General features: G+C 42.6%; 2 protein-coding genes across 7 annotated transcripts in view; one reads left to right on the top strand and one right to left on the bottom strand.

Annotated features, from left to right (window-relative positions):
* The window catches only part of DMGDH (dimethylglycine dehydrogenase), a 72,111-nt gene extending 69,701 nt beyond the window's left edge, over positions 1 to 2,410 (bottom strand). For all 5 annotated transcript variants that reach the window (NR_104003.3, NR_104002.3, NM_013391.3 and 2 more), the window contains exon 1: positions 2,256 to 2,410. Coding sequence is in view for 3 of the 5 variants with exons in the window: in NM_013391.3 (NP_037523.2) it covers positions 2,256 to 2,356 (101 nt within the window). In the remaining 2 variants the exon portion in view is untranslated. The remainder of the gene's footprint in view (positions 1 to 2,255) is intronic.
* BHMT2 (betaine--homocysteine S-methyltransferase 2) lies at positions 2,503 to 22,805 on the top strand. 2 transcript variants are annotated; one of them, NM_017614.5, is made up of 8 exons: positions 2,503 to 2,551; positions 10,216 to 10,348; positions 12,105 to 12,196; positions 13,423 to 13,614; positions 15,545 to 15,692; positions 15,928 to 16,110; positions 16,364 to 16,592; positions 21,229 to 22,805. In NM_017614.5, the coding sequence occupies exons 1-8, from the start codon at positions 2,519 to 2,521 to the stop codon at positions 21,308 to 21,310; spliced, it is 1,092 nt and encodes a 363-aa protein (NP_060084.2). In that variant the 5' UTR covers positions 2,503 to 2,518; the 3' UTR covers positions 21,311 to 22,805. The 2 variants fall into 2 exon arrangements, with proteins under 2 accessions (NP_060084.2, NP_001171476.1); NM_001178005.2 differs by lacking the exon at positions 13,423 to 13,614.

The raw sequence follows: 26,197 nt of genomic DNA on the forward strand, positions 1-26,197 counted from the left end.
ATGCTGTGTGAGAAAAAAATAATGTACATATGACCCAACTACTTTGGACGGAAATCCATTTTTAAACAGACTGGGCATATCTTGTACTTTAGTTGAAACCATTATAGTGGTGACAAAAATAATAATCTTAAAGGTTCTTTTTTGTGTGTTCAAAAGAAAGAATTATTTCTTTCAGGACAGTGGTCAGTTGAAACAACAACAACAAAAGAGAACTTAAGATCAGGAAACCTGGGTTTGAGTCCCCAATCCAACTGAACAGCTATTTTAGAGAAATTTACACAAGGGTCTCAAAGTTTTCTCATTTGCAAAACGGAGCTGTGAAGGTTCTGTTTGGCAACATATGATAAAGCATTATCAAATATATAGTATTTCCTCGGCCCAGCATGCCATAATAGGTTTCAGACTAGGTATAGTGTTTTTGATTATGTGGATAACTATCTTAAAATCCTTCTGAATGTAGTCGAGGATGTTTATAAGAGTATTTGAAATAAAACTTAGGAGCCATGCAAAAAACCCAGGTCAGTTATCTTCTGTATTAGAAATGATAAGCACAAACTGTATGCTTGTTCAACTGCTTTCCAAAATAAAACATTTTTTGATAGTTTGAAATTGGGTATATAAAGAATATGCAATTGAAATAACTCAACTTTTGGGTGTTTTTGTTTTTGTTTGTGAGATGGAATCCCTGTCGCCCAGGCTGGAGTGCAGTGGTGCAATCTCGGTTCTCACTGCAGTCTCCGCCTCCCAGGTTCAAGCGATTCTCCCGCCTCAGCCTCCCAAGCAGCTTGGACTACAGGTGCACACCATGACACCCAGTTAATTTTTGCATTTTTATTAGAGACAGAGTTTCACCATGTTGATCAGGCTGGTCTCAAACTCCTGGCCTCAAGTAATCTGCCCACCTCAGCTTCCCAAAGTGCTGAGATTACAGGCATGAGCCACCACACTCAGCCAAAATATGAATTTTTTGGATAGTCTTGAAATTTGTATCTTATTTATCTAATCAGTTTGTTTGTTAAATTTCCATTTTATTTTGCACTGGATTAAAAACATCATTATTATAAATATTTTTGCATTGCTTTACAATTTACAAAGCACTTTCACATGCATTCTCTTATTTAATATTCACAGCAATCCTGTGAGTTATATAGAGCAAAATTAGTATCCTCATTTTATAGATGAGGAAACTGAACCTCAGAAGTGTAAGGTCACATTCTGTGTAACAGATGGCGCAGGAACTGTGAGTTGGTGGCTACTGCATTCCCAGTACTGGAGACAAACCTAGCACATCACAACACCCAGTAAATATTTGTTGAATGGATAGATGGAACTCAAAAGCAGGTCTTCTGATTCCAGAATTTCAGGTCATAGGACATAAAATAAAATTCGAATCAACTCATAATAATGTTGAGTGATGCTGATAAACAAGCCTTTCCTGGCAACCAGGAATAATCTACAAATATAAGAAGTCGAAAGATGTTCAGCATTGCTCATATTTAAATACAGACCAATCAAAACAAGGACATGCCATTTTTACCTATCAGATTTAGCAAAGATAACAAAATGGGCTATTCTGGGAACCAGGGAAGATGTGGGAAACAGACACACACTGGTGTGCCGCATGCAAACTCTTGCCACCCACTTGGAGAATGTGTTGCTGTCTTTCAATCTTTCAGATGCACGTAACCTTTTCCCTAACAAGTTCACCTTTAAAAACTGTTGCTACCGACTCCCATATGTACTCAAAGATAGATGCCTAAGAATTTTCACATGCACGTTATTTGCAGTAATAAACAACCAAAAACCATTTAAATGTTAATGAATAGACTAACGATAGTGTAGAATATTGACAGGATGGAAAACTATGCAGCCATTAAAAGGAACAAGGCAAGTCAGTGTGTGCTGATATGGAACAATCTCCAAGATATATTGATAATTGTAAAAAGCAAGATGTCAAAAAGCCAAAGGAAAACCTATACTGACCTGTGTTTGCCTATGCGTAGACTGTCTCTGGTTAGATTCAGAAGACACTATTAACAATTGTTCACTGGCCAAGGGGATTGGGGCAGGAGAGACTTTACACGGGGAACCTTTGGATACTGTTTCACTTTATAATTAAAAGATAATTCGAGAAGATATATCAAGGCCTATTTCTTGGAGGCCAGAGCGCTCCTAACCCCTGAGCCTGCCTCAGCCTCTGGCTCCCACCCCCGCAGCCGCCCCGTCGCCTCTGAGCAGGACGGGGCCCCACTCACCCTTCCCGGCCGCAGACAGAGCGCGGGCGCCCGGGGGAGCCCTGCAGCGGGCAGCTCCGCAGCAGGAGGCCCCGCAGCAGCTGCGCGCCGGGACGGAGCATGACTAGGCCGAGGCCGAGGGCGCAGGCGCCTGCTCCGAGGCCAGCGGGCAGCCTGAGGCCGCGGGGCCGGCGGGGCGGGGGTCGGATCCTCCCCCCGGGCTGGGGGCGGGCTCCTAGACGGCCGCGCGCCCGGGAACCCGGCGCCCACAGAGCCGCGGCACCATGGCACCTGCTGGACGCCCGGGGGCCAAGAAGGTGAGTTTCGTCCCCTCGATCCTCGCGGAGCTCCTGGCCGCTGGGCTGCGAGCGACTCCGTTCACACCCGGCGTCCATCCCTAGCCAAGCCCTGGGGCCTCGGCAAAACACTTGGACGGGATGGCCCTGAGCCTCAATTTTCCCCTGTCACGGGTTGGTTAGCGTTTATGGAGCCCTTACTCGGTGCCTGGCGCTGCACAGAGTGCTGTGCTCAAGTTATCTCCTCATCTTCACAATTATCCCCATTTCACAGGTGAGGAAACTGAGGCTCGGCGAGTCAGGCGACTAGCTCAGGGTCACGGGTCCAGCCCCGCGGGGAGCGAGGATCAGAAGTCTAGCTTTCGGACGCATGTCGCGCACACATTTTCTTCCCTCAACCGACCCTCGCCCGCAGCTCTTTGGGCTAATCCGTCCGGGAACTCTTCGGACTGTCCCCTCGCGTTTTGGAAAAGTCAGCAGCCTGGCCAAGCAGCCTGGCCTTGCGAGTCGCCGGCTGGTCTGAAACTAGTCCTGGGCAAGGACGCCCCCAGAGCTGCGGTGCAGGGTGGAGGGTAGGTGGGATTCGCTAGCACCCCTCAACCTCCTCTCACCCGGTGGTCCCCAGCTCCTGGCCCCTTTCCTGGTCTGGTCACCAGATGTTGGCTTTATGCCCAGCCATTTCTACGTCGAGTATGTGTGGGGGTGGGATGAAGGAGTGACTAAGCAAAATTAGGAAGGGCATGAGCTTGGACGAAAGACATCCCCAGGACCCTTCAGAGACCCCCACCCGCTCCAGCCCTGTCATTCAGAATGGGAGGAAGGGAGGAGGGGCAGTTTATGCGTGGAAATGTGCACCACCGAGCTATTTATACTAAAAAGTTAGAAACGACCAAGATACTCTGCAATACGGGATTCTAAATAAATTAAGGTTCATCTACTTAAGTTATTAGACAGTTAAATAACTTAGTATGAGAACCAGCTAAGTGCCTTGGCAATGTTAAGTTGCAAAAGGAAATATATCACAAACTGATCCCAACCATATACAAATATTTATATACACACTGTAAGGAAGGACACAATAATGGTAATAGTTACACAAGATGTGGAATATTGGTTTAAAAAGCATGTTTTAGGATATTTTTTCAGGTTATAAAAGCAAAATGTGAGCATTGAAAGAATACAGTTAATAAAAATAATCAAAGAACATTGTGCTTTTTTCTCTCAACTTTCTCTAATGCTATGTTCATCTTTACAGTTCATATTTTTAAACGTTTTTAAAATGCCCTGTTTTTGTTCAGTGTCTTTGGGGCCTCTACTGTTACAACACCAAGATTATCACACACTAATCCATGTGAATGTGTACCTGGGAGTTAAGGTGTTAATGGGAAGGAACTAATCTCACCTCTCTCCTCAGCTAGCAGGTACATTTTAAGAATTCATTTAATTGCCACAGACAAGACCTCCAATTAGGTCTTAAATCCAAAAGAGCAGTTCTGCTGGCAAATCTAGGAAAAGGGGAAGTTATTTTAGACAGACTGGGTTTTTCTGATCACCTCCTACTACACAGTGAAGTTGATCCCCACTGAGTATGAATAGAGATGTCTTGAAGCCAGATCTTAAACCCAGAGGTCTTACGTAGTGATATCTGCAAAAAGGGGGCATAAATGCACCCTAGAGCTCGCTGTCAGATGCAAGGCAGGTTCACTGCCAAACTGATGGGGAGGAGGGAATGAAAATATAAATGTACTGCAAAATTAATTTACAGGGTTCCTTATTTTACATGTTCCTGTCTTTATAATTTTACAGTTGACTTTAGATCGTACTAGTATAATGGTGAGGAACAACACACACTGGGGCCTATCGAAGGGTGGAGGGTGGAAGGAGGGAGAGGATCAGGAAAAATAACTAATGGATACTAGGCTTAATACCTGGGTGAGGAAATAACCCATATAGCAAACCTCCAATGATGCACATTTACCTGTGTAACAAACCTGCACATCCTGCACATGTACCCCTGAACTTAAAAGTAAAAAAAAAAAAAAAAAAAAAAACTAAAGAAGGGATCATACTGGTATAGTAATTAATTGAGGTAGTTAGAATAGCAGTGAAGGAAGGGCTAAAAGATGCTCTGATCTCAAATCTTGATAACTTAGTTATTTTGCTAATGGCTATGTAGAAAAATGGCAAATTGGCCGGGCACAGTGGCTCACACCTGTAATCCTAGCACTTTGGGAGGCCGAGGCAGGCAGATCATCTAAGGTCAGGAGTTCGAGACCACACTGGACAACATGGTGAAACCCTGTCTCTACTAAAAAATACAAAATTAGCTGGGCATGGTGGCATGCACCTATAATCCCAGCTACTTGCGAGGCTGAGGCAGGAGAATTGCTTGAACCCTGGAGGTGGAGGTTGCAGTGAGCTGAGATCGCGCTACTGCACTCCAGCCTGGGCGACAAGAGTGAAACTCTGTCTCAAAAAAAAAAAGAAAGAAAAGAAAAGAAAAATGGCAAATTTAAAATGGTGGACAAACATCCAGATAACAAATGAAAATGTCCTCCCTTTACTTGGTTTCATAAAGACACAGTCAAAATATATACTACAATTTTCTTAAAACCTACCTAATTGTCTGCTAAAGAGTAACATTTTTTCTTCTTCAGGACAAAAATTCTAGCATATGCAATACATCTGACATTTTCAAAACAGTCCTGTTTATTTGCTAATTCTTGGCATAGTTTCTTAAGTGTCTACTCATTTTAGTTGTTATATGTGGTGGTAGGGATATAGACCAATAAGATATGTCACCTGCCCCCAAGCCTCTTACAGTCAAACTGAGGTGACAAGTAAGTAACCAGATACTGCTGTACAGGGGGATGCATGAATGAAGGATCTGTGAAGTTAAGCAGGACACAAAAGGGGTATAATCACAGGTGAGACTGGGTCAGTGAGCCTGTGCTCTGGTAGCAATGGAAGACAGTTCAGAGTAGGGCTGGAGAGAACTGGAGACCATTTCAATAATCAAATGCAGTGAGGATGGTGGGGCATTTGAGAAATGTGTAATACACTTGGCATAACCCTGTGATAGGTTGGATGTGGGAGGTGAGAAGCTAACCTACAACATCTGAATTCTGTGCCAATGTTTTCCCTCGACAATTGTTTGAGTAAATTTGATTCTTTTTTTTTTTTTTTTGAGACAGAGTCTCACTCTGTTGCCCAGGCTGGAATGCAGTGGCACAATCTCAACTCACTGTAACTTCCAACTCCCAGGTTCAAGCTATTCTCCTGCCTCCACCTCACAAGTAGCTGGGATTACAGGCACCTGCCACCATGCCCAGTTAATTTTTGTATTTTTAGTAGAGATGGAGTTTCACCATGTTGGCCAAGCTAGTCTCAAACTCCTGACCTCAAGTGATCTGCCTGCCTCAGCCTCCCAAAGTGCTGGGATTACAGGCGTGAGCCACCGCGCCTGGCCTAAATTTGATTCTTAACATGGTGAACCTAATGAAGTGTATGGGATTTTCAGGAAAACAGTTTGTACACAGTAACTGTACCTCTGACTTTCTCTTCTGTATTCCTGTGTAGCATTTATTGGTCACATTCTGCTGTGATTATTTGTTGATTTATTGGCCTTCCCCAAAGTAGCCAGACTTTGAGCTTGTGGAGGGCAGAGACCTTGTCTTATTCTGATGTTTATCCCACTTGCCCACAACTATACCTGACATGTGGAAGGTCTCAATAAACGTCCAAAATTTAAGGCCTTTTTTATATTTCAAAAGTACAAATTGAAAAGAGTGAATTGCATTTGATGCAGGGAGGAGAAAGAAAGAGATGAGAATCAGTAAATATTAACATTTCTTCTGCATTCAGCTAAAATTCAGCTTTAGATATAAAATATGGAAAAATAACCAGAGTTGAGAGCTCTCTCTGCCAAAATAGTGTTTATGTTTAACATAGTTCACACAGCTGGGCTCCATTTGCCTGCCCTCCAAGTGCACAGTAAAAAGATGCTGTAGGTAGAGTGACCTGGTATTTACCTCTAGTTAAACCCCTTCTGATGGACCTTCTTGCACTGCAGAGGAAAGAAAACTAACCACTTTGCCAGACTCCTTTGCAGCTAGGATCTGGATAAGAACTAGCATCCCCAATCAGATGCACCAGTATGAGTCTGGGAAGGTGGAAGCATAGCAAATGTGGCCATAGTGCAGCATTCCAGGGTCACGTGAGGGGCAGCTGAGGTCGCTGGAGCAGCCTCCTTCTCCCTATATGACAGCTGTGTCCTGAAGCCAACAGTTCAATAGTGGCTTCTCTTAGTTGTGGCAGAGGGTGCAGCCCCAGCCGGCCAATTCAGTCATGTTTTTCTAGGGGTCATTTCTGGAAGCCCAGTGTAAATTTTTTATGTACCCATTTCTCAATATTAAACTCCTTTCTGCTTAGTCAGAGTGGTTTGTACTTCTGCAGCTAAACTGAACATGGGGAGAAAGCTAGAATAAGCCCCCTCTCTAGTCATGCCATTCGATGGAGATTAAGAGATTATTCAAGCCATATTTGACCTCTCATGTTTGGTTCCATACTGTTAACAGGACTGTCCTGGGAGGCTCTGTGGGAAGATCCTCACGTCTGCTTTAATTTCTGGTTGCTTTTATTAGATCCAGGATTGACCCAGCTAAGGACAAAGACTCCTGTAACCAAGATCAAATTAGCTTCCCTCTTATTCTTTATTGCCTTTATGGCCTTCCAGCCTCCTGGGAAAAGATTGAAGAAAATAGTATATCAAGCAATATGGCCAAAATGTGTTTGGGATCTCTTTGTTCCTTGGTATCCAAGGAAGCTCGCTCCTGACACCTGGGTGGGTCACTTTGTGTGGGGAGTAAGCAAAGGAGAAATAGCAGATGCCAGACACTAGAACAGAAGCAGTTTCTCTCCAAAATCTGTTCCCCCTCCTTCCGAAGGATTAGCGTTGGAGCTGGACACATGGACATTCACTGATGATACTTCCTGGCTTCCCTTGCAGCAAGGTAGAGCCATGTGGCTAAACTCTCACGCAGGAAATGTAAATGTCAATGAGATGAGTCACTTCTAGGTCTGAGCTAAAAACTTTAGGATGAGCTTTGCCACACTGTTTCCTCATCGTTTGAGACAGAGTATGAACGTGACTCTGATCCAGTTTCCCCCATGCTGAGGAGGACAGTACCCTAGGGCTGGGTTGGCAAACGCTTTCTGTAAAGGGTCAGATAGTAATTATTTTTAGCCTTGGGGGCCATACAGTCTCAGTGGTAACTACTCAACTCTGCTACTGTAGTGGAAAAGTGGCCATTAGACAATATGTAAATCAATGGGCAGGGTTTTACCTAAGACTGTTTTTACAAAAACAGGTGATGTGCCAGATTTGGTCTGTGGGCTGTCATGTGCTGACCCCTGCCGTAGGGAATGGCAAAGCAATAAGATAAAAGGACTGTGCAATTTGGTGCACACTCTGTAAAAAAGAGTCCCCCACAAACAGTGGCTTTCCTCTTACAGAGGAAAAAGAAACTACTTTTATTTAAAGCCACTGTTGTGGGGGCCTCTTTTTTACACAGCTTAGTTTTACCCTACACCCAACACGTAGGCCAGTAAGCTGCCTATGTACCCTGCTTGATGTCTCCCTTGGATTCAGGAACTGAGGGGGTTTATGTTGATTTCATAGAACAGATAAGACTAGTTAAAAGAGGCATCTGAGGCTTTTCTCCCTGATCCATTCATTGCTTTGTGTCCAGCTATGGGCAGGCCTGAAATGAACTGGCCTATTATCAATAAAAGGTTGCATCTTCCACTGATGCAGCCTACAAAAGAGGGATCAGGATTGCTGTGGGGAGTTGGGAGGAGTGGGTGGTTTGCATTGCTCAGGGAAGGCATCTCTGAAAAGGTGACACTTGACCAAAGACCAGAAAGCAGTGAGGGGATGACCCTGCAGGCACCTGGGGAGATGTGCTTTAGACCAAGTGAAATGGGAAAAGTTCCCTTATGCCCCTTGCAGGGTGTGTGATGGAGGCGTGGATCACTTCTTCAGCACCCCACAGCTTAAACCCCTAGGGGGAGCATGCAGGTACCCCATGGCAGCATCTAGGGGTGAATGTTTACAGCTCCTGAAGCCCCAGTGGGTGTGTGTTACAGTGTGCTCTTTCAGCTTAGCTGTCCACTGGCAGCTTGTGTTAATCAGCTCAATTAGACCCTCCGCCTTATCGAAAGGACAGAGGGCTTTCTGTATCCTGGGGTTCTTGCCAGTGTACTGGAAAAATTGGATCACACATGGGCTTGGAGAATGAGTGCAAGGTTTTATCGAATGGTGGAAGTAGCTCTCAGCAGATGGATGGGGAGCCAGAAGGGGGATGGAGTGGGAAGGCGGTCTTCCCCTGGAGTCAGGCCGCTCAGCAGCCAGACTCTCCTCTGATTACCCCTGGCTGAATTCCACTTCGTCTGTGTCATTCTGCCACCGATGGCCTGCCAGAGTCTGTGTGTTCTTCTGCCAGTGTGTTCCTCTCAACGTCCAGCTGCTTGTGTTTGTGTTTGCTAGGGTCTTGAGGTTTTTATAGGCACAGGATGGAGGTGTGGCGGGCCAGGGTGGTCTTGGAAAATGCAACATTTGGGCGCAAAAACAGGAGTGCCTATCCTCACCAGGGTCTGTGGGCACAGGCCTGAGGCCTTTCTGTATCAAAAGGAAACTGCACCCCATGGCTAACTGCTCTGAATGGAACCTTTTAAATAAGTTATGAGTGGGCTAAATAGGAAGGTGGTAAAATAGAAGGAAAAGAGAGTAGGAATTTAGAAGCTAGTCTGATTTTTTACTTACTTAGCTCTGTGATCTTGGGCAAGTCAACCATTCTGAGCCTCAGTTTCCTCATCTACACCTGAGAATAAAAACTGTGTCCTGCCTCACTGGCAGAGTTGCTGGGAGTGCCAAATGATAAGACACGTGTGAACACACTGCATGACTACAAAGCGTTGTGTCCACTACCGTTCTGTTCAGTGGCTGACACGAAGAAAAATTATTTTTCTCACCTAACAAGAGGTCCAGGGGTAACAGCCCATGGCTGCCGCAGCCACCCAAGGATGTCTTAAGAAATCTGCCTCATATGGCTGTCAGATGACTGCTGTATTCCCAGGCATTATGTTGGCATTCCAGCCAGGAAGGAGGAAAATAGACAAAAGGGAAGGGAGTGGGCGTCTATGTCAGGAAAGCAAAACTTTTCCAGAAATCCTCCACCAGCTTCCGTATGTGTCTCACTGGCCAGCACTGTGTCACAGGGCTGCTCCCAGAGGCAAAGGAACCTGGGAATTTTTTGAAAGTTAGGGGCATTGTCCCCCCACACAAAAACAGGGGAGAGAATGCACACTAGGTAGACAACTAGCTGTGTTGTCACAAACATGTTGAAAAGCCAAAATAACTATCGTGGAATCAGTGCTATAATTTGACTCAGATTAAATGTTATTTAAGAATAAATAGTCTCAGCCCTTTCATTGTACAAAATAGGAACCTGGATCGGCCAAGAAATATGGTATGCTCAATCTTTCTGAAATATTATTAGAGCACATGATTTTAACAAAACTACAGCTCTAAGAACGTAATACCACTTCACCTAAAATTAGAAAATGCTTTTAGGAAAAAAAAAAAAAGTAGAGCGGAGCTTAGGTGCTTTTTTTCTCTTCTTCAGGGGATTTTGGAGCGCCTGGAGAGTGGGGAGGTTGTGATTGGAGATGGCAGCTTTCTCATTACTCTGGAGAAGAGAGGCTATGTGAAGGCTGGGCTCTGGACTCCAGAGGCAGTGATAGAACACCCAGACGCAGGTTGGTGTCCACATCCCCAAGAGTGTCTACCTGAGTGGTATTTTATTTAAATCTGATTGAGAGAAGATCAAGAAAAAAATAACAACTGTTTCAAAGGGGTGTTTTGCTTGCTAAGATTGCCAAGATGTGGAGATAATGGCAGTATACAGGCGGAAGTATATGGAAGAAAATGACCTCTCTCTCTCTCATACACACACCTACCCACATCACACACCCACCCATCCACACGCCCACACACACTCCCACACACACACATCCATGCACTCACACCCCAACCCCACATCCACACACACCCCACATCCACACCCACATACACCACAAACACACATACACACCCACACAACACACTCTCACACACACACACACTCTCATACACACACACATCTGCATCTTAATGTACAGGCAGTGCTAAAATAGACATCTTAATATTTGTTCCATGAATATTTACCTTGTAGATATACAGAGTTTCCTTAAAACAGCAAAACTGTTCCTGCTTCTGATTCACCCTGCTGACAATGTGCATGGTTAAGTGTAACAGCGTTTATAGTGAGGGTGATTAATGGTAGTCACAGTGTAACAGAGCACAGACAGCCAGGTTCCAGGGTTGGGAGGGCAAGGAAGTCAACACAGTTTTATATCATCCTCCTGGCTGGGAAAAAAAAAAAAAAAAAAGAGCTAGAGGTAAAGAACTATGATGGGATTAGATAGTTACCTGAAATGAAAACTTTAATTCTCTTCTAACTCTTTTTTTGTGTGTTTGTTCTCCTAAATTAAAGTGAGAAAATAAAGCCAAAGAATGAAATGGGTGTAAGAGAACACTAGCTGAGACTGGAACTTTTGATTCACTCTGATTTTATGTATATTCACACAGCGTATCAGATAAACCTAGGGTCCTGTCTTGATTCTTCCACTGACCAGCTGTGTGACCTTGGACAAGTCACTTGACCTCTCCAAGGATCCATATCTTAATCTGTTTCATGGGGGCACAACATGGGCTAGGTGTGAGGACTCACAAGTTAACCCGTGTGAAGTGCCCGTATCATCAGTACGATGGCCGTTATGATTGGTGCATCGGACACCCAGAGTTCTGTGGTAGAGCAGGACCAAGTTTTGTTCCTTTGGTGCTTAACAGGATGTTTTCATCTGGCCCAAGAAGAACTTGTTCTTAATGTTAAAAGACCTTTTTGCTAAACTGGGAAGAAAGTGCTGGAATAACAAGAGTAAGGATAAGGGAGGAGGGGCGAAAGTGGTGAAGGAGAGGAAGGAATGACTTTCAGATAGCCAGGAAAAGCTTCCAGACTGCTTTCTGATGTTCCCAAACTGCTTGCTCTGACTCTGATATGGGTGCCACCCACATGCATTCTGCTTTCTATGAGAAGCTCCTCACTTTACTTTAAGGGCTGCCAATGCTGACTATAGTAGACCAGCTCTGTCCTTTACAACACAGGTATAGAATAAACCTCTCTAGACCAAGAGACCAAGGGTTAATTGGCCAGTCAGGCCTTAATCTCTGCATGTGACTGCACCAAGTCATTGAGGCCCATCACCAGAACAATACAAGGCTGCTCTAAACAGTACATCCTGCCTATGAATTCTACTGACCTTAATCTATAATTTTTTGTTACTACTAGGTTTGAACTGAGGTATGATTGAAAGAGATGGGAGTCAGTGAGCTACTGCTGCTTTTGAAAATGATAGCTTCTGTAATATTTCTTTATTCATTTATTTCAATGTTTAAAACCCAACTACTTTGTAGTTCGTCAACTTCACATGGAATTCTTGAGAGCAGGATCAAATGTCATGCAGACTTTTACCTTTTCTGCCAGTGAGGACAATATGGAAAGCAAGGTAAACGGCAATGGCTGGGTGTGGGGGAGGGAGTCATCTATTAAAAAATAACCTCTTCATGGGAAGCTATGGAATTGATTATGTGTTACTATACTTTATTACAAAGTCCATATAAATATGTATTAATTTTCACGTGAAGATATATACTAAATAGGTCGGGCACAGTGGCTTACACCTGTAATCCCAGCACTCTGAGAGGCCGAGGTGGACAGACCACTTGAGCCCAGGAGTTCCAGATCAGCCTGGACAACATGGTGAAACCCTGTCTCTACTGAAAATGCAAAAATTAGCTGGGTGTGGTGGCAGGCGCCAGTAATCCCAGCTACGCAGGAGGTTGAGGCATGAGAATGGCTTCAACCTGGGAGATAGCATTGAGCCGAGATCACACCACTGCACTCCAGCCTGGGTGACAGAGCAAGACCCCATGTCAGCAAAAAAAAAGAAGTTAATATATACTAAATGAATTAGCTTTCTCTTCCCATTTAGGTAGAGGAGGGGTCAGGACTAGGGGTAAAATAAACCATTGGAAGGGCATGGCTGTCTTCTTGTGCTATTTTTTAGAGAGAAAGCACTTCATAGATGCTCTTTTCACCTTCTCATTTCACACTTTTCTCTTCTGGAGACAGGGAGGCCCTAAAAAACAATACTGGAGTAGAAATGAGAAAAAACGGGTTTGATATCCAGCATTGCCACCTATTGGCTGTGTGGCTTTGTGTAAGACACCTACCTGCATTGAGCATTGGTTTTCTCTCTGTAAAATGGAGACAACAGTAGTGCTTAAATTCATAGACCTGTTGAGAAGAGTAAGTAAGACCAAGGATGTGAAAGTATTGTGAAATATTCTGCAAATGTAAAATGTTAATACGTGTAAATGTTAATGCCCATTAATTCATTCAACCAACCAACATGTACTGAGTATCTGTTACAGTCCATTCTCTATGTTAGACTCAAAGTTGATACAAAGGCATAGACCCTATCTGGAGGTGCAAGGTCAAGTATGGGAGGCAAACAAATAGTTATTAAAATCCAATGTGGTAAGTACAATAATGGAAATATAAGGTCATGGTAACAGAGGAGATTGTACCCAACTCTGCTGGTCTTTTCTGCTTGCATTGAAGAGAGTGGCTTATACTCATCTTACTTGTTTATTGTCCCTTTAGTTATCTTTTATATTTTACCTTCAAACTGCTAGGCTCACTATCTGAACTCTTGCTCTCTAACCTCAGTGGGAAGATGTAAATGCTGCTGCCTGTGACCTCGCCAGGGAAGTGGCTGGCAAAGGTGATGCTTTGGTAGCAGGGGGGATCTGCCAGACATCAATATACAAATACCAGAAGGATGAAGCTAGAATTAAAAAACTTTTTCGACAACAGCTAGAAGTTTTTGCCTGGAAAAATGTGGACTTCTTGATTGCAGAGGTGAGGCTAGTATTGGAGGAAAAGGATTGAACCTATTTTGCAAGCATAACTGCAGAGTCTTCACATTTCATGAGGGTATTGGACAACATTCTGCCCTCATTTCTTCCATGTGGATGGTCAAAGGTTTATTTAAATGCATGGTAGTCAAGGCCAACATTCCCTCATTGGTATGCTAGGTTCTCTTAGAGCCAAAGGACAGACCCAAGAGAGGCCTGACCATAGCCTTTTATCTTCTAAGGTCTGGGTGGCTGCAGAAGCTGACTTGGGGGACTCTACAACCTATAAGGAAGCATAGGGCACAGTGCCTCCGGGAGCACCCTCTCCAGAGGGAGAATCCACACAGGAGGGCACTGCATGTGTGGGCTGGGGACTGAGAGAGCAAGGCCTGGAAGGTGGTGGCTATCCAGGCTCGTCTAGGCCCCACCAATAATGCTCAGCACCCAGTAGTTTCCATAGCCTTCTCCATCCATGTCTTGCTCTTCTTGCCTCTCTGCTTTCACTCAAGCTATGACATGTGAATTACATTTTGAAGAAAGAATCAGTAAGAATTGGTCATTGATTGGACATGAAGGCCCAGAACATTCTCTTTCCTCCACTTCCAAAACGAAAGTCCTCATTCCCCATTTCCCAACATAACTGCTACTGCCTGGGGTCATGCCTTCAACCCACAACTTTACTCCAAACAAGAGAATATCCCCTGGCTTGGCGCGGTAGCTCACACCTGTAATCCCAGCACTTTGGGAGGCCAAGGCAGGTGGATGGCATGAGGTCAGGAATTTGAGACTACCCTGGTGAACAAGGTGAAAGCCCATCTCTACTAAAAATACAAAAATTAGCTGGGCATGTTGGTGGGAGCCTGTAGTCCCAACTACTCTGGAGGCTGAGGCAGGAGAATGGCTTGAACCTGGGAGGCGGAGGTTGCAGTGAGCCAAGATAGGGCACCACTGCACTCCAGCCTGGGCGACAGAGTGATACTCTGTCTCAAAAGAGAGAGAGAGAGAATAGCCGCCACCATTATTCCCCCTAGTGACCCCACTGAACTCTACTGAAAACCTTGCCTCATCCTCCTGCCCACGCCTGGCCAACCCCACTGGGAACAGTCATCTGCAGGGACAAGCACAAATTCCACCCTCTGTGCTTTCCAGATGGATGATGACACCACTCTGTTTGTTTAAGAACCCGTCTTTTGATTCTCTCATAATTCCTCACACTGCTTCTGCAGAATTTGTTTCTAACTCAAGAGGGAAGAAACAGGAAGATTTCTGGCTTTTCTTTAGTTGCCTTAAGGTCAGCTTTTCAGCTGTGGCACTGAAGGGGCTTCCTGGGAAGCACCCAAGAAAATGACATGGGTTTACCAGACAAGATGTCCTGTCCACCACTGGCAAAGACAGGGAGTAGCTATTTCTCCTATGCTGTGCCTCAATCTTCTCACCCGGGGAAATGGTGCTTCCCTTCCTACTTTATGGAGCACTTATGAATATCTAACTAGAAGTGAATATAAAAGCTCTTTGAACTATAACACATGATAAGCTACTCATTGTTTCAGAGATTACCCCAGTTTTATAAGAGATGAATCTAAAATTTATTAGCAAAACTTTTCCTCCTTCAAAATTACAAAATTATGATTTTAAATACTCAATTACTTTGAAAACCTCTGGGTGTGTTTTCTTCTTTTTTACTAATAGGCATCATCTCACTGAATCAATGAACCCTGAATGAAAAACTATATGTTATTGTTATAGGAATGAAAATGTTTACTCAGAAAGGTATTCTTTAGTCAGTCTGATAGACACACATTCCTTAGCAAGTTTTATTATGCATATGTTTATATTCTATTTGGTAATTTTTATAACTGTTTTGCTATATTTACCTTTACCATTCAAAATCTGCTTTATGTTTGGACCAGTAGAAAAAGTGACATTTCTCTTAGTATTTTGAGCACGTTGAAGAAGCTGTGTGGGCTGTGGAAGTCTTAAAAGAATCAGATAGACCCGTGGCAGTTACCATGTGCATAGGCCCAGAGGGAGACATGCATGATATAACCCCCGGAGAATGTGCTGTGAGGCTGGTGAAGGCAGGTAATTTGGACCCATACCGTGATACACAGCTCAGTTGTTGCTTACGAAATTTAACAAAGTGTGCTTGATATTGTGAGAGCAGTTTGGAAATAGAAGAATGAACTCCAATCAGTTTTCTTATCTGTAAATTGTGGGAGGTGGAGGGGAATGGCTAACCTCTAAGGTACCTTCCAACTATTAAAAAAAAAGAATAAACAAATAAATAATAAAATGTAAGTGTTATTTCTTTGCACAGGGGCTTCCATCGTTGGCGTGAACTGCCGCTTTGGGCCCGACACCAGCTTGAAGACGATGGAGCTCATGAAGGAGGGTCTTGAGTGGGCAGGGCTGAAAGCGCACCTCATGGTGCAGCCTCTGGGGTTCCACGCGCCTGACTGTGGCAAAGAGGGGTTTGTGGATCTCCCAGAATATCCCTTTGGTAAGCTCAGGTGCATAGTAGAGGTCCTTGTATTTCTCGTGACAAAATCCAAATGGCTATAATAAATTGTGGCCCAGTTTTACAATAAGAGACTGCATATGACAAAACATTCAGAGTTAACCAAAAATGAGCTATCAGAAGAATGCATCATCTAAAGTTTATAGTTTTTTTAATTGGAAAAACTGCTCATTAGAGCATCCATCATTTGAAAATGAGAACAGTAACAGAAATGCTGTTAACTATTGTGATTCAGGACTGGAGTCCAGAGTTGCCACCAGATGGGATATTCAAAAATACGCCAGAGAGGCCTACAACCTGGGGGTCAGGTACATTGGCGGGTGCTGTGGATTTGAGCCCTACCACATCAGGGCAATTGCAGAGGAGCTGGCCCCAGAAAGGGGCTTTTTGCCACCAGCTTCAGAAAAACACGGCAGCTGGGGAAGTGGTTTGGACATGCACACCAAACCCTGGATTAGAGCAAGGTAAGCATTTTTAAATTAACATTCTTATTATTTTCCTTTAATCTCATTTTATTTATTGTTGTAAATGTCATGCATGCACATGACAAAAAGTATAGAAATGTATAAAGTGAAAAGTAAAAATTATCCCCTTCCTGATACCAGCTCCATTCCCAAAATTGTCTTTAGTCCATTTGGGCTGTTAGAACAATACCATAAACTGGGTGGCTTATACACAACAGAAATTTCTTTCTCAGTTCTGGAGACTGCAAAGTCCAAGATCAAGGTGTCAGCAGATTCAATTTCTGGTGAAGGCCTTAGAGATGATAAAGGCCATCTATAAGGAAGCAGGCATTCCTTATAGATGATACCTTCTTGCTGTGTCCTCACATGGTAGATGGGGCACCACAGCTCCCTGGGGCCTCTTGTCTTTTTTGTTTGTTTGTTTGTTTGTTTGTTTCTGAGATGGAGTCTGGCTCTGTTGTCCAGGCTGCAGTGCAATGACACAATCTCGGTTCACTGCAACCTCTGCCCCCCAGGTTCAAGTAATTCTGCCTCTGCCTCCCGAGTAGCTGGGATTACAGGCGCCCACCACCACATCCGGCTAATTTTTGTATTTTTAGTAGAGACGGGGTTTCACTATGTTACCCAGGCTGGTCTCGAACTCCTGACCTCGTAATCCGCCTGCCTTGGCCTCCCAAAGTTAGAGTGGGGCCTCTTTTCTAAGGGCACTAGTCCCATTCATCAGGGATGCATCCTCATGACCCAATCACCTCCCAGTGGCTCCACCCCCTAATATCATCACACTGGTGACTAGGTTTCAACATGTGCATTGTGGGGACACAGACAATCAGACCATGGCACAGAGGAAACCTGTTTGTCATTTGTGTTTTGAAATCTTGTACCTCTATTTCTTTTGTCATCAGTTTTAAGTGGTAACTATTGATAACCCTTTATGAAAGCTGAGGGATTTAAATCACATAGGCTTCCCCTTTTCCCCGTTCTCCTTTTTCCAGTTTTGATTCGTTACACTTTTATTTCTTCTGTTGGATATCTTTTTAAGTTAAAATTATATATTTAACCACCTGTTTCTTAGTTCATCAATATAAGGCAGGAATCTCTTGACTCCACTCTCTGTAAAATAAGAATAGATTCCCCTCTGCTTCTTTCCACCTTCCCTCTCTCATCTACCCCTTGGTGTCTTTAAGTTTTACCATACTTTACTATCATCAAGGTTTATAACCATTTTGTTCTATTCTATAGTTATAATTGTCTTTCAAGCTTTCTCTGTAGGTTGATCCTAAAAATATAAAATCAGTGAATAACATTTACAATATTATTATAATTGTTATATTAAACAAGCAGGACTCATGAGACATAATTAGAATTCACTTTTATTTTTGTCTCCCTCTATCCCTTTAAACCTACTCAATGAATTCCTTCGTTTGTTCCTACTTGAAAATACTGACCAGCTCTAGAACTTCTCTGGGTGCTCTTAGGCAATGGAAAGTTCCATAATCACTTTATTTCACAGATAGTCTCAGTTCAGTAATTAAAAGTGTTTAGGACTGGGCACAGTGGCTCACGCCTGTAATCCCAGCACTTTGGGAGGCCGAGGCTGGTGGATCACCTGAGGTCAGCAGTTCAAGACCAGCCTGGCCAACATGGCAAAACTTCATCTCTACTAAAAATACAAAAGTTAGCCTGGCGTGGTGGCGGGAGCCTATAATCCCAACTACTCGGGAGGCTGAGGCAGGAGAATCGCTTGAATTCAGTGGGGTGGAGGTTGCAGTGAGCCAAGATTGTGCCACTTAACTCTAGCCTGGGCAATAGAGCGAAACTCCATTTCAAAATGAACAAACAAAAAAACCCCAAAAATAAAAAATAAATAAAAGTGTTCAGGTTCATGTCAAATCAAAACTCAGAGCATGTTTGAAACTTGAAGCTTCTCCCTTTGTCCAGCAACAGCCTTCCACAGACAGGAAACCAGGAGAGGCCAGCGCGCTGCTTCTCTTTCTCTGTTATGCTCCCAAACTTCCCTTCCCATCTTGCTACCATGGTTTCTGGCCTCCTCAGATTCAAAGTAAGAAGAAAGAGGATGGATAAAGGAGTAAGACTGTTGTTGCTTGCCTGGCACCCTGATAGGAAGCCGGCATCCTCTGACCCTGGCAGATCTTTGTGAGCACGCTCATGGGTCTTCAGAGGCTCCCACTGGAAACTTTTGTCTGTACTTCTCATGCCACAGGCATTTTTCTGACTGTGACTTCTGCCTCAGACAGTGGCTTTTTCAACCAGGTCACTCCAGATATACTCTGATTTGGGGGTCCTGTTGTCCTCCCCGGTAATTCTCTTGGGCCAGATTTTAGATAGTTCAGGCTGGCTCTCTCACTCTCATTAGGCTCAAAACAGCTTTCACCCTTTCTGCAGACAAGCCATGAGAGTGTGGTCTGACCCCAATTTAACAGCACCCCTTTTGCCCACAAGCAAAGTAGCTGGCCCATTGTTCTCTTGTGGTCCAGATTTTCCAGGGGACAGTCAAATGAGTCATCTGGCTGGTTCGTGGCCACCTCCTTTTAACTTCTGTGCAGTGTCTGTCTTGCAACTCCCCTTGATACCTAAAATCCATCATGCCTTGGTGTTTCCAGTCAAACTTCCAATCTAATACTCTGTTGCAGGAATAATAGAAAATTGTTGCATTTAGAAAAACGTTCACTGCAGAACAAAGTAGTATGCATGGGACCATGGATAAAGAGAAATAATCCTATTTACAAAACTTGAGCTACTTGTTGGAGAATGTTCCAAGCATCAAGGTCAAATGAATTTTCTTCTCTTGCATTCCCGTGGATATATTGTCCAAATCCATGCCATATTTCAATTTGCTTCATACTTGGTCTGACTTTCTTTGTATAGCCTTTGGTTTTCTAGGGATTTCTGATTAACTTCCTTTTCCATTGTTGAAAGAAAAATAACAGGGCTTCACTTTCCCTGAGGTCTTATAATTTCTAAATTATATTGTTTGTTACAGTAAGTCACTTTATTATTGAAGGCATTTTTCTTGGGGCCTCAAGAAAATTACTGTTCTGTTATGGATCATTGTATTTCACACACACACACTCATACTCTGTCTCTCTCTATCTTTCCATATAGATAATCTTTTGTGTATGTATGTGTGTGTGTGTGTGTATATATATATATATATATATATATATACATATGTATGTATATCTGTTGATATAATTCCATCCCCCTTCCATCTTCTAGAACTAGTCACAATCTCTGCTGTCTTCTCTCTGTTCAGTACTCTCATGTACTTCACCCATTTTGTGCTTATTTATTCATTTCAGTGGGATTTGAAAGTCTTCATTTTTGAACTGGAAAAATTTGCCTAATGCAAATTTACTTAGGTTGTAAAAGTAGGCAAGAATCACTTAGCCAAAGCTTTCTTCTAGGAGATATGGATATTTACCAGAGAAGATGTTTTGTATATGTGTCATACTTTTTAAAAAGTATTAAATATAAATATAATTAAAAGGTGAGGAAAACATACTTTGGTGATGATTAAAATAGTTTAAATAAGTGAGTAGTTTATTTAATTATCATCTGCTAGGAATCCTTAAAATTCATTAGCTATTAGAATTAAAACATTATTCTGTAGACCAAAGCAAGAAGACACCCTTTTTACCCTGACTCCCAAACCTACTGATATTCACAGAAATTTATGATTACACAATAAACACTAGATTTCTGACATCTCATCATCCAAAAATATTGATTTATTCATTGTTTTGTAAGTAAAGTGGAAAAAACAATAAAAATATATTCATCAGAAAGGGCTACGACCAGGGACCTTTGTACTCTTCTTCCTTTGTCTAACAACAAGAAACAAATATTGGTAAAGTAATTTGTATTATTTTCTTAGTTACTTTTTGGAGAATTATACTTTGACTCATTACATTAAAAACTGTTCTCGTATTCTTCTCATTACATTAAAATATTGATAGAGTTAGAAGGACTCTGTTAGAAATTTCAGAATAAATATAATTCATAAAAGTATGTGAAATGTAAGGCTGGGCATGGTGGCTTACACCTGTAATCCCAGTACTTTGGGAGGCCAAGGCAGACGGATCACTGGAGCTCAGGAGTTTGAGACTAGCCTGGGCAACATGGGGAGACCCTGTCTCTACTAAAAATACAAAAATTAGCCTGGTGTGGTGGTGCACGCCAGTAGTCCCAGCTACCTGGGGGGCTGAGGCAGGAGGATTGCTTGAATCCAGGAGGTCTAGGCTGCAGTGAGCCAAGATTGTGCCACTGCACTCCAGCCTGGGCAACAGAGCAAGACCCTGTCTCAAAATAAAAAGTATATGAAATTGAAATACGTTGTCTTTTTCTGAAAGGTGGTATGAAACCTAATGATTGTTATTGAAATGTAAGAAAGGCCCCTGGCATTAATGGATATGGACACAGTTTTCCGTCTGTATGTTAAAACAAAAGTTCTGCTTTAGCCTGATTATCCACCAAGTTTTGACTGTGTGTGTGTGTGTGTGTGTGTGTGTGTGTGTGTGTGTGGTTATATACATATACATACATATATACATATATGACATATTGGACTTATAGGTAAGACTTTTAATTAATTAATTATGTATATATTGAAACACAGGGCTCGAAGGGAGTATTGGGAGAATCTGCTGCCAGCTTCAGGCAGACCTTTCTGTCCTTCGCTGTCAAAGCCAGACTTCTAAGGAGTAGTGAAAGAAAACCCTGAAATAATCGAACAGGAAAAAGTTGCCCTCAAGCCTGACCTGGAACCGTTCCTCACCTTCATCCTCACCATGCCCTGCTATCTCCAGCTGCTGAGCAGCTGAGGTGCTGCAGCCCCTTCCCTTCCAGCCCACAAGTGTGTGCATATTGAGCTCCTGCTGTGGTTAAGCACTGCAACAGACTCTACCAGAGATGCAAAGAGAAGCGAGAGAGGCACCTTGTTCTCCAAGAACTTACTGTCCAATCATGCTGTGGTGCATTCCTTTGAAGATCATGAAGAATAGCCAAACTTGTCTTTGAGGGTGAATTTGACACTTTAAAATAATCAGAAGTCACTGAGACCCAAAGCTAGTGAATAATTCAAGTGACTAAGCTAGATACTTGAGGATGATAGAGCAACACTAAACTAAAGCAATGAGTCTGCTTTTTTTAATGATTTATACAATGACTCCAAAGGCAATCCCAAAGAAAAGATGTAAAGAATGTTTTGAGCAATGGTAGCATTATTGAAATAAATGTTTAACTATCCAAAGTGATTACTTTCAAAGATGATTTTTACTTAAAGATATTAGGTCTGGCCAGGCGAAGTGACTCACACCTGCAATCCCAGCACTTTGGGAGGCCGAGGCGGGCGGATCACCTGAGGTCAGCAGTTCAAGACCAGCCTGACCAACATGGTGAAACCCTGTCTCTACCAAAATACAAAAATTAGCCGGGCATGATGGCGGGTGCCTGTAATCCCAGCTACTCGGGAGGCTGAGGCAGGAGAATCGCTTGAACCCAGGAGGCGGAGCTTGCAGTGAGCCGAGATCAGGCCATTGCACTTCAGCCTGGGTGACAGAGTGAGACTCCATCTCAAAAAAAAAAAAAAAAGATATTAGGTCCTAGAATTTTTAAAATGTGTCTTCATAATCATAGGTAGCTAGGTTATAAACTATTTAAAGACAAGATCACGTGATAAGCTTATAATCTTCTCATAATTCCCCTTACTTAGCATTGTGTTAGACATACTAATAGGTGCACAGTGAAATACTTATTGTTGATTGTTTAAAAATAAAGTTTTAGAAAACCTTTTCAAAAGTCAGAGTTTAGGCCAGGGGCACAGGCTGACACCTATAATCCCAGCACTTTGGGAGGCCAGGGCGGGCAGATCACTTGGGTCAAGAGTTCAAGGCCAGCCTGGCCAACATGGCAAAACCCCATCTCTACTAAATAAAATACAAAAATTATCCAGGCATGGTGGTGCATGCCTGTAATCCCAGCTACTTGGAGGCTGAGGCATGAGAATTGCTTGAACCTGGGAGGCAGAGGTTGCAGTGAGCTGAGATCGCCCCACTGCAATCCAGCCTGGGAGACATAATTCAAATCTATTTTGGTCTTATATCTTCTTATGTTTGTGTTATTTCATGTGTGCCAGTTTCTCTTTTTTTCACAACAATTTATCAATTTGTGGCAATAAAAATGATTTACCTTTTATAGTGTTTGAATGTCGAAAATGTCATGAACATTCTTTGGAATAATACTAGCAAATATTTATTACTCACTATGTCGCAGTCTTTGTTCTAAAGATGATCTCATCTACATATACCCCCCAACAGGGATTCAAAATTAGATAGTGTTTAACACAGTAGTTTACAGGTAAGGAAACTGAAGTTTAAGGAGGCTAGGTAACTTGCCTGAGGTCACACAACTAGTAAATGTGAAATTAGTAAATTTGGATTTGAACCCATGGGGCTGGCTCTAGAATCCATGCCCTTAGCTACTGCACTACACGGCATCTGTCATGCACACAGCTGCTGCTTTTTGTCAAAAATCTATCCAAATTTTTCTGTCGCTGGATTCAAAGTATTTTTTATCAACTTTCCTTATTATGAATTAACTCTTCAAACCTGCCATGACTGTTTCTGTAATGTTGACAACCTGGAATTTATTTGATATAGCCACTTTACCCATAATACACAACCCCACCCTGCTGGAAATTAGAAAGTGAATCATTTACTATTATCTCAAGGCCTTTGGGGTCCTTAAGGGTGACTAATCCAAACCACCAATTAAATACCTGAATATCCTCGCCAGCATCTTCATCAGGACCATCCAGTCCCTGTTTGAATCCCTTAAATAGTAACTCACTACCTCTCGAGATCACTTACTCCTTTTTAAGAAACACTTCATTCTCTGGAAAGTTATTCCATGTATTAACTAGAAATCTATTTATTAATGACCCTCACCTGCAGACTTGGAGCACCTAAAGTGCAAATTTATAATTTCTTCCATATAACTCTTTGAAATTTAAAGATAGCTGTATGGCTTTCCTATACTTACTTGTCCTCATTTCCTTCAACTAAAAGGCATAGGCTAAGATGTGCTTTGTCAAATCTACCTGTGTGACACTGTACAGTTACTTAAGCTTTATGCCTTAATTTCCTCATCTGTAAAATGAGGGTAAAATAGAACCATCCTTATTAGGGTGCTATGAGGATTAAATGAGATAAGTTTCTTAGAAACAGTGCATGTCGTATAACAGGCATTCATTGCACATTATATAGTATAATATAATTATGTTGACTTGGTTTCCAATCCCCTCATCCTCATGGTGACTGTCTTCTGGGAACACTCTGGTACCAAAGCCTCTGCTTATTTTTAGTATGTAGTCCTGAACACCACATTCCAGGGGAGGACCGTTTACACAATATCTCCTGCTTGCTTCATAGATTTTGTGGAGAGGGCAGTGCAGGACATCATGAGAATAGCAAGAGTGAAGAAGGTACATTAGGAGGGAGAGATGTCTCCACACCGAATCCCTTCCTTGGGTCTGCACCAGCACAAACAAAGGCTTTTATCTAGTTACTGTACAGTTTAGGTGTGCTAAACTGTATAGGAGTTTGAGACCAGCCTGGGTAACATGGCAAAACTCTGTCTCTACAAAAAAATACAAAAATTAGCTGGGCATGGTGGTGCATGCCTATAGTCTCAGCTAGTCAAGAGGCTGAAGCTTGAGCCCGGGAGGTCGAAGCTGCAGTGAGCTGTGATCACACCACTGCACTCCAGCCCGGGTGACAGAGCAAGACCTTGTCTCAAAAAAAAATAATAAAATAAAATAAAATAAAAATAAAAATTAAGAAAGAAAAAAAGATAAATTTTACCATATAAAAACTTTAAATGTATGAACACTCACACAAAAATACTCTAAACAAAGGCAAAGGCAAATAGGAAAACTGTGTAACAGAGGTCAGAAACCACTCTTCCAGTAAAGGGGTCTTGAGCTGCTTTTGTTCAAACCTCCCCGAACCCAAACAGATGTTGTGAGGGGGGCTCGCCTATGTGATTGGCATTCAGAACCCCACTCCACTCCATTTTCTTGGGCTTACAGGTATTATGAGAGGACAGTGTACCCAGCTGGGACCAAGCAAAGCCTTGGGGTCAGCACTAGCATCAACACCATCAGCCATGTTGATGGTCACTGTTTCAGGTGTAGGATATGAGGTTGTGGATCAGGTGCCCCAGGAAGCACAGTGCACCTCGTGGAGATGATGTGAGGGCCAGGTCGTTGGATCTACAGGCACTGACACAGAGCTCGGACAGTTTCTGAGCATTCATATGTTATCCCGTAACATGGTACCTGCCAGCCCCACTTGACTCTTTCCTTCCCAAGAAGCAGGTCCTCTCCCTTGTTGGGCAACTTCTGGGGATTGATGGTCAGCTCCTGTGCGCCCCCACGTGCACTTTGTACTGCCTCCTCCCCACCTCCCTCAATCCCCACAACTATGTAAGGTTTTCAGAAAAACTTTCTTTTCTTCATATGTTATTATAATAGGACATCACTCCAAAAGCAATAGGAAAGTGAAGTCCTCTTTTCTCAATGGCATCCTTATTAGAGGTGGGGAAATATTTGCCTTATATCTTTCCAGTGCTGGGAAAAAAGGGTGGGGGGAACAGAATAACACAATCTGAGTACTAATATCCTGCCACACATATTTGCATACATTTGATAAGCTAAGGGATAGTTTCCTTAATCTATAAATTAGGAAATAATTACCTTAATCCATTAAATATAGAAAAAGATAAACACATTCAAAATTAGGTAAATGCACAGCAAAGTGACGAGATACCTTTTTTCACCTATCATCAACTAGGATCAATAAGTGGATAATATGTCAATGAGGGTGCAGGGGAAAAGACTTTCTCATACATATGCTTTTTGTAGAAGCATAATCTGGTACAAACTATTTGGAAAGTAATTGGTCCATATTTACAAAATTTAGAATTCACATGCCCTTGGATGAGCAATTTTACTTCTAGGAATATAATCTGCAATTATGTTCATATATATGCAAATATGTATGTCTGGAAACCACCTAAATATCCATCAATGACATATTAGTAAATGAATTATGGAACATCTACAGGATGTTAAAGCATGGCATCATTACAAAGAGTACATTATATCAATATGTGCTAAGATGGAAGGATCTCCTCCATATATTGTTAAATGAAAGTATGCTCCCATTGTGTGTACATAGAATATTTCAGGAAGGAATATCTCCCTCCTAGGGGAGAAAGACTGGTGATAGAAAGTGTGGTGTAGGAGGAAGACTTCCTTTTCTCTGATGCCCTTCTTTAGTGTCTACATTTGTTAATATGGTTTGGTATTACTTTTTCTACAAAATAAATTAGTTTTAAAACATATGTCAAGATTTCTGATTCCAAGGGGAAAAATCAGATAACATGAGTTTCCTGTTGTGATACAGAATGGGAAACGCTACATTACCAATGATGTACACCAGCCAGAAGTGCCTGGGGGAATCTAATCAAGCCTTTAGATTTCACTTCCAGTTCAGTGAAATCAAGGGATATAGGAACAAGGTAAA

This window comes from Homo sapiens, chromosome 5, assembly GCF_000001405.40.
Source record: "Homo sapiens chromosome 5, GRCh38.p14 Primary Assembly".
In the NCBI taxonomy this organism is placed as follows: domain Eukaryota; kingdom Metazoa; phylum Chordata; class Mammalia; order Primates; family Hominidae; genus Homo; species Homo sapiens.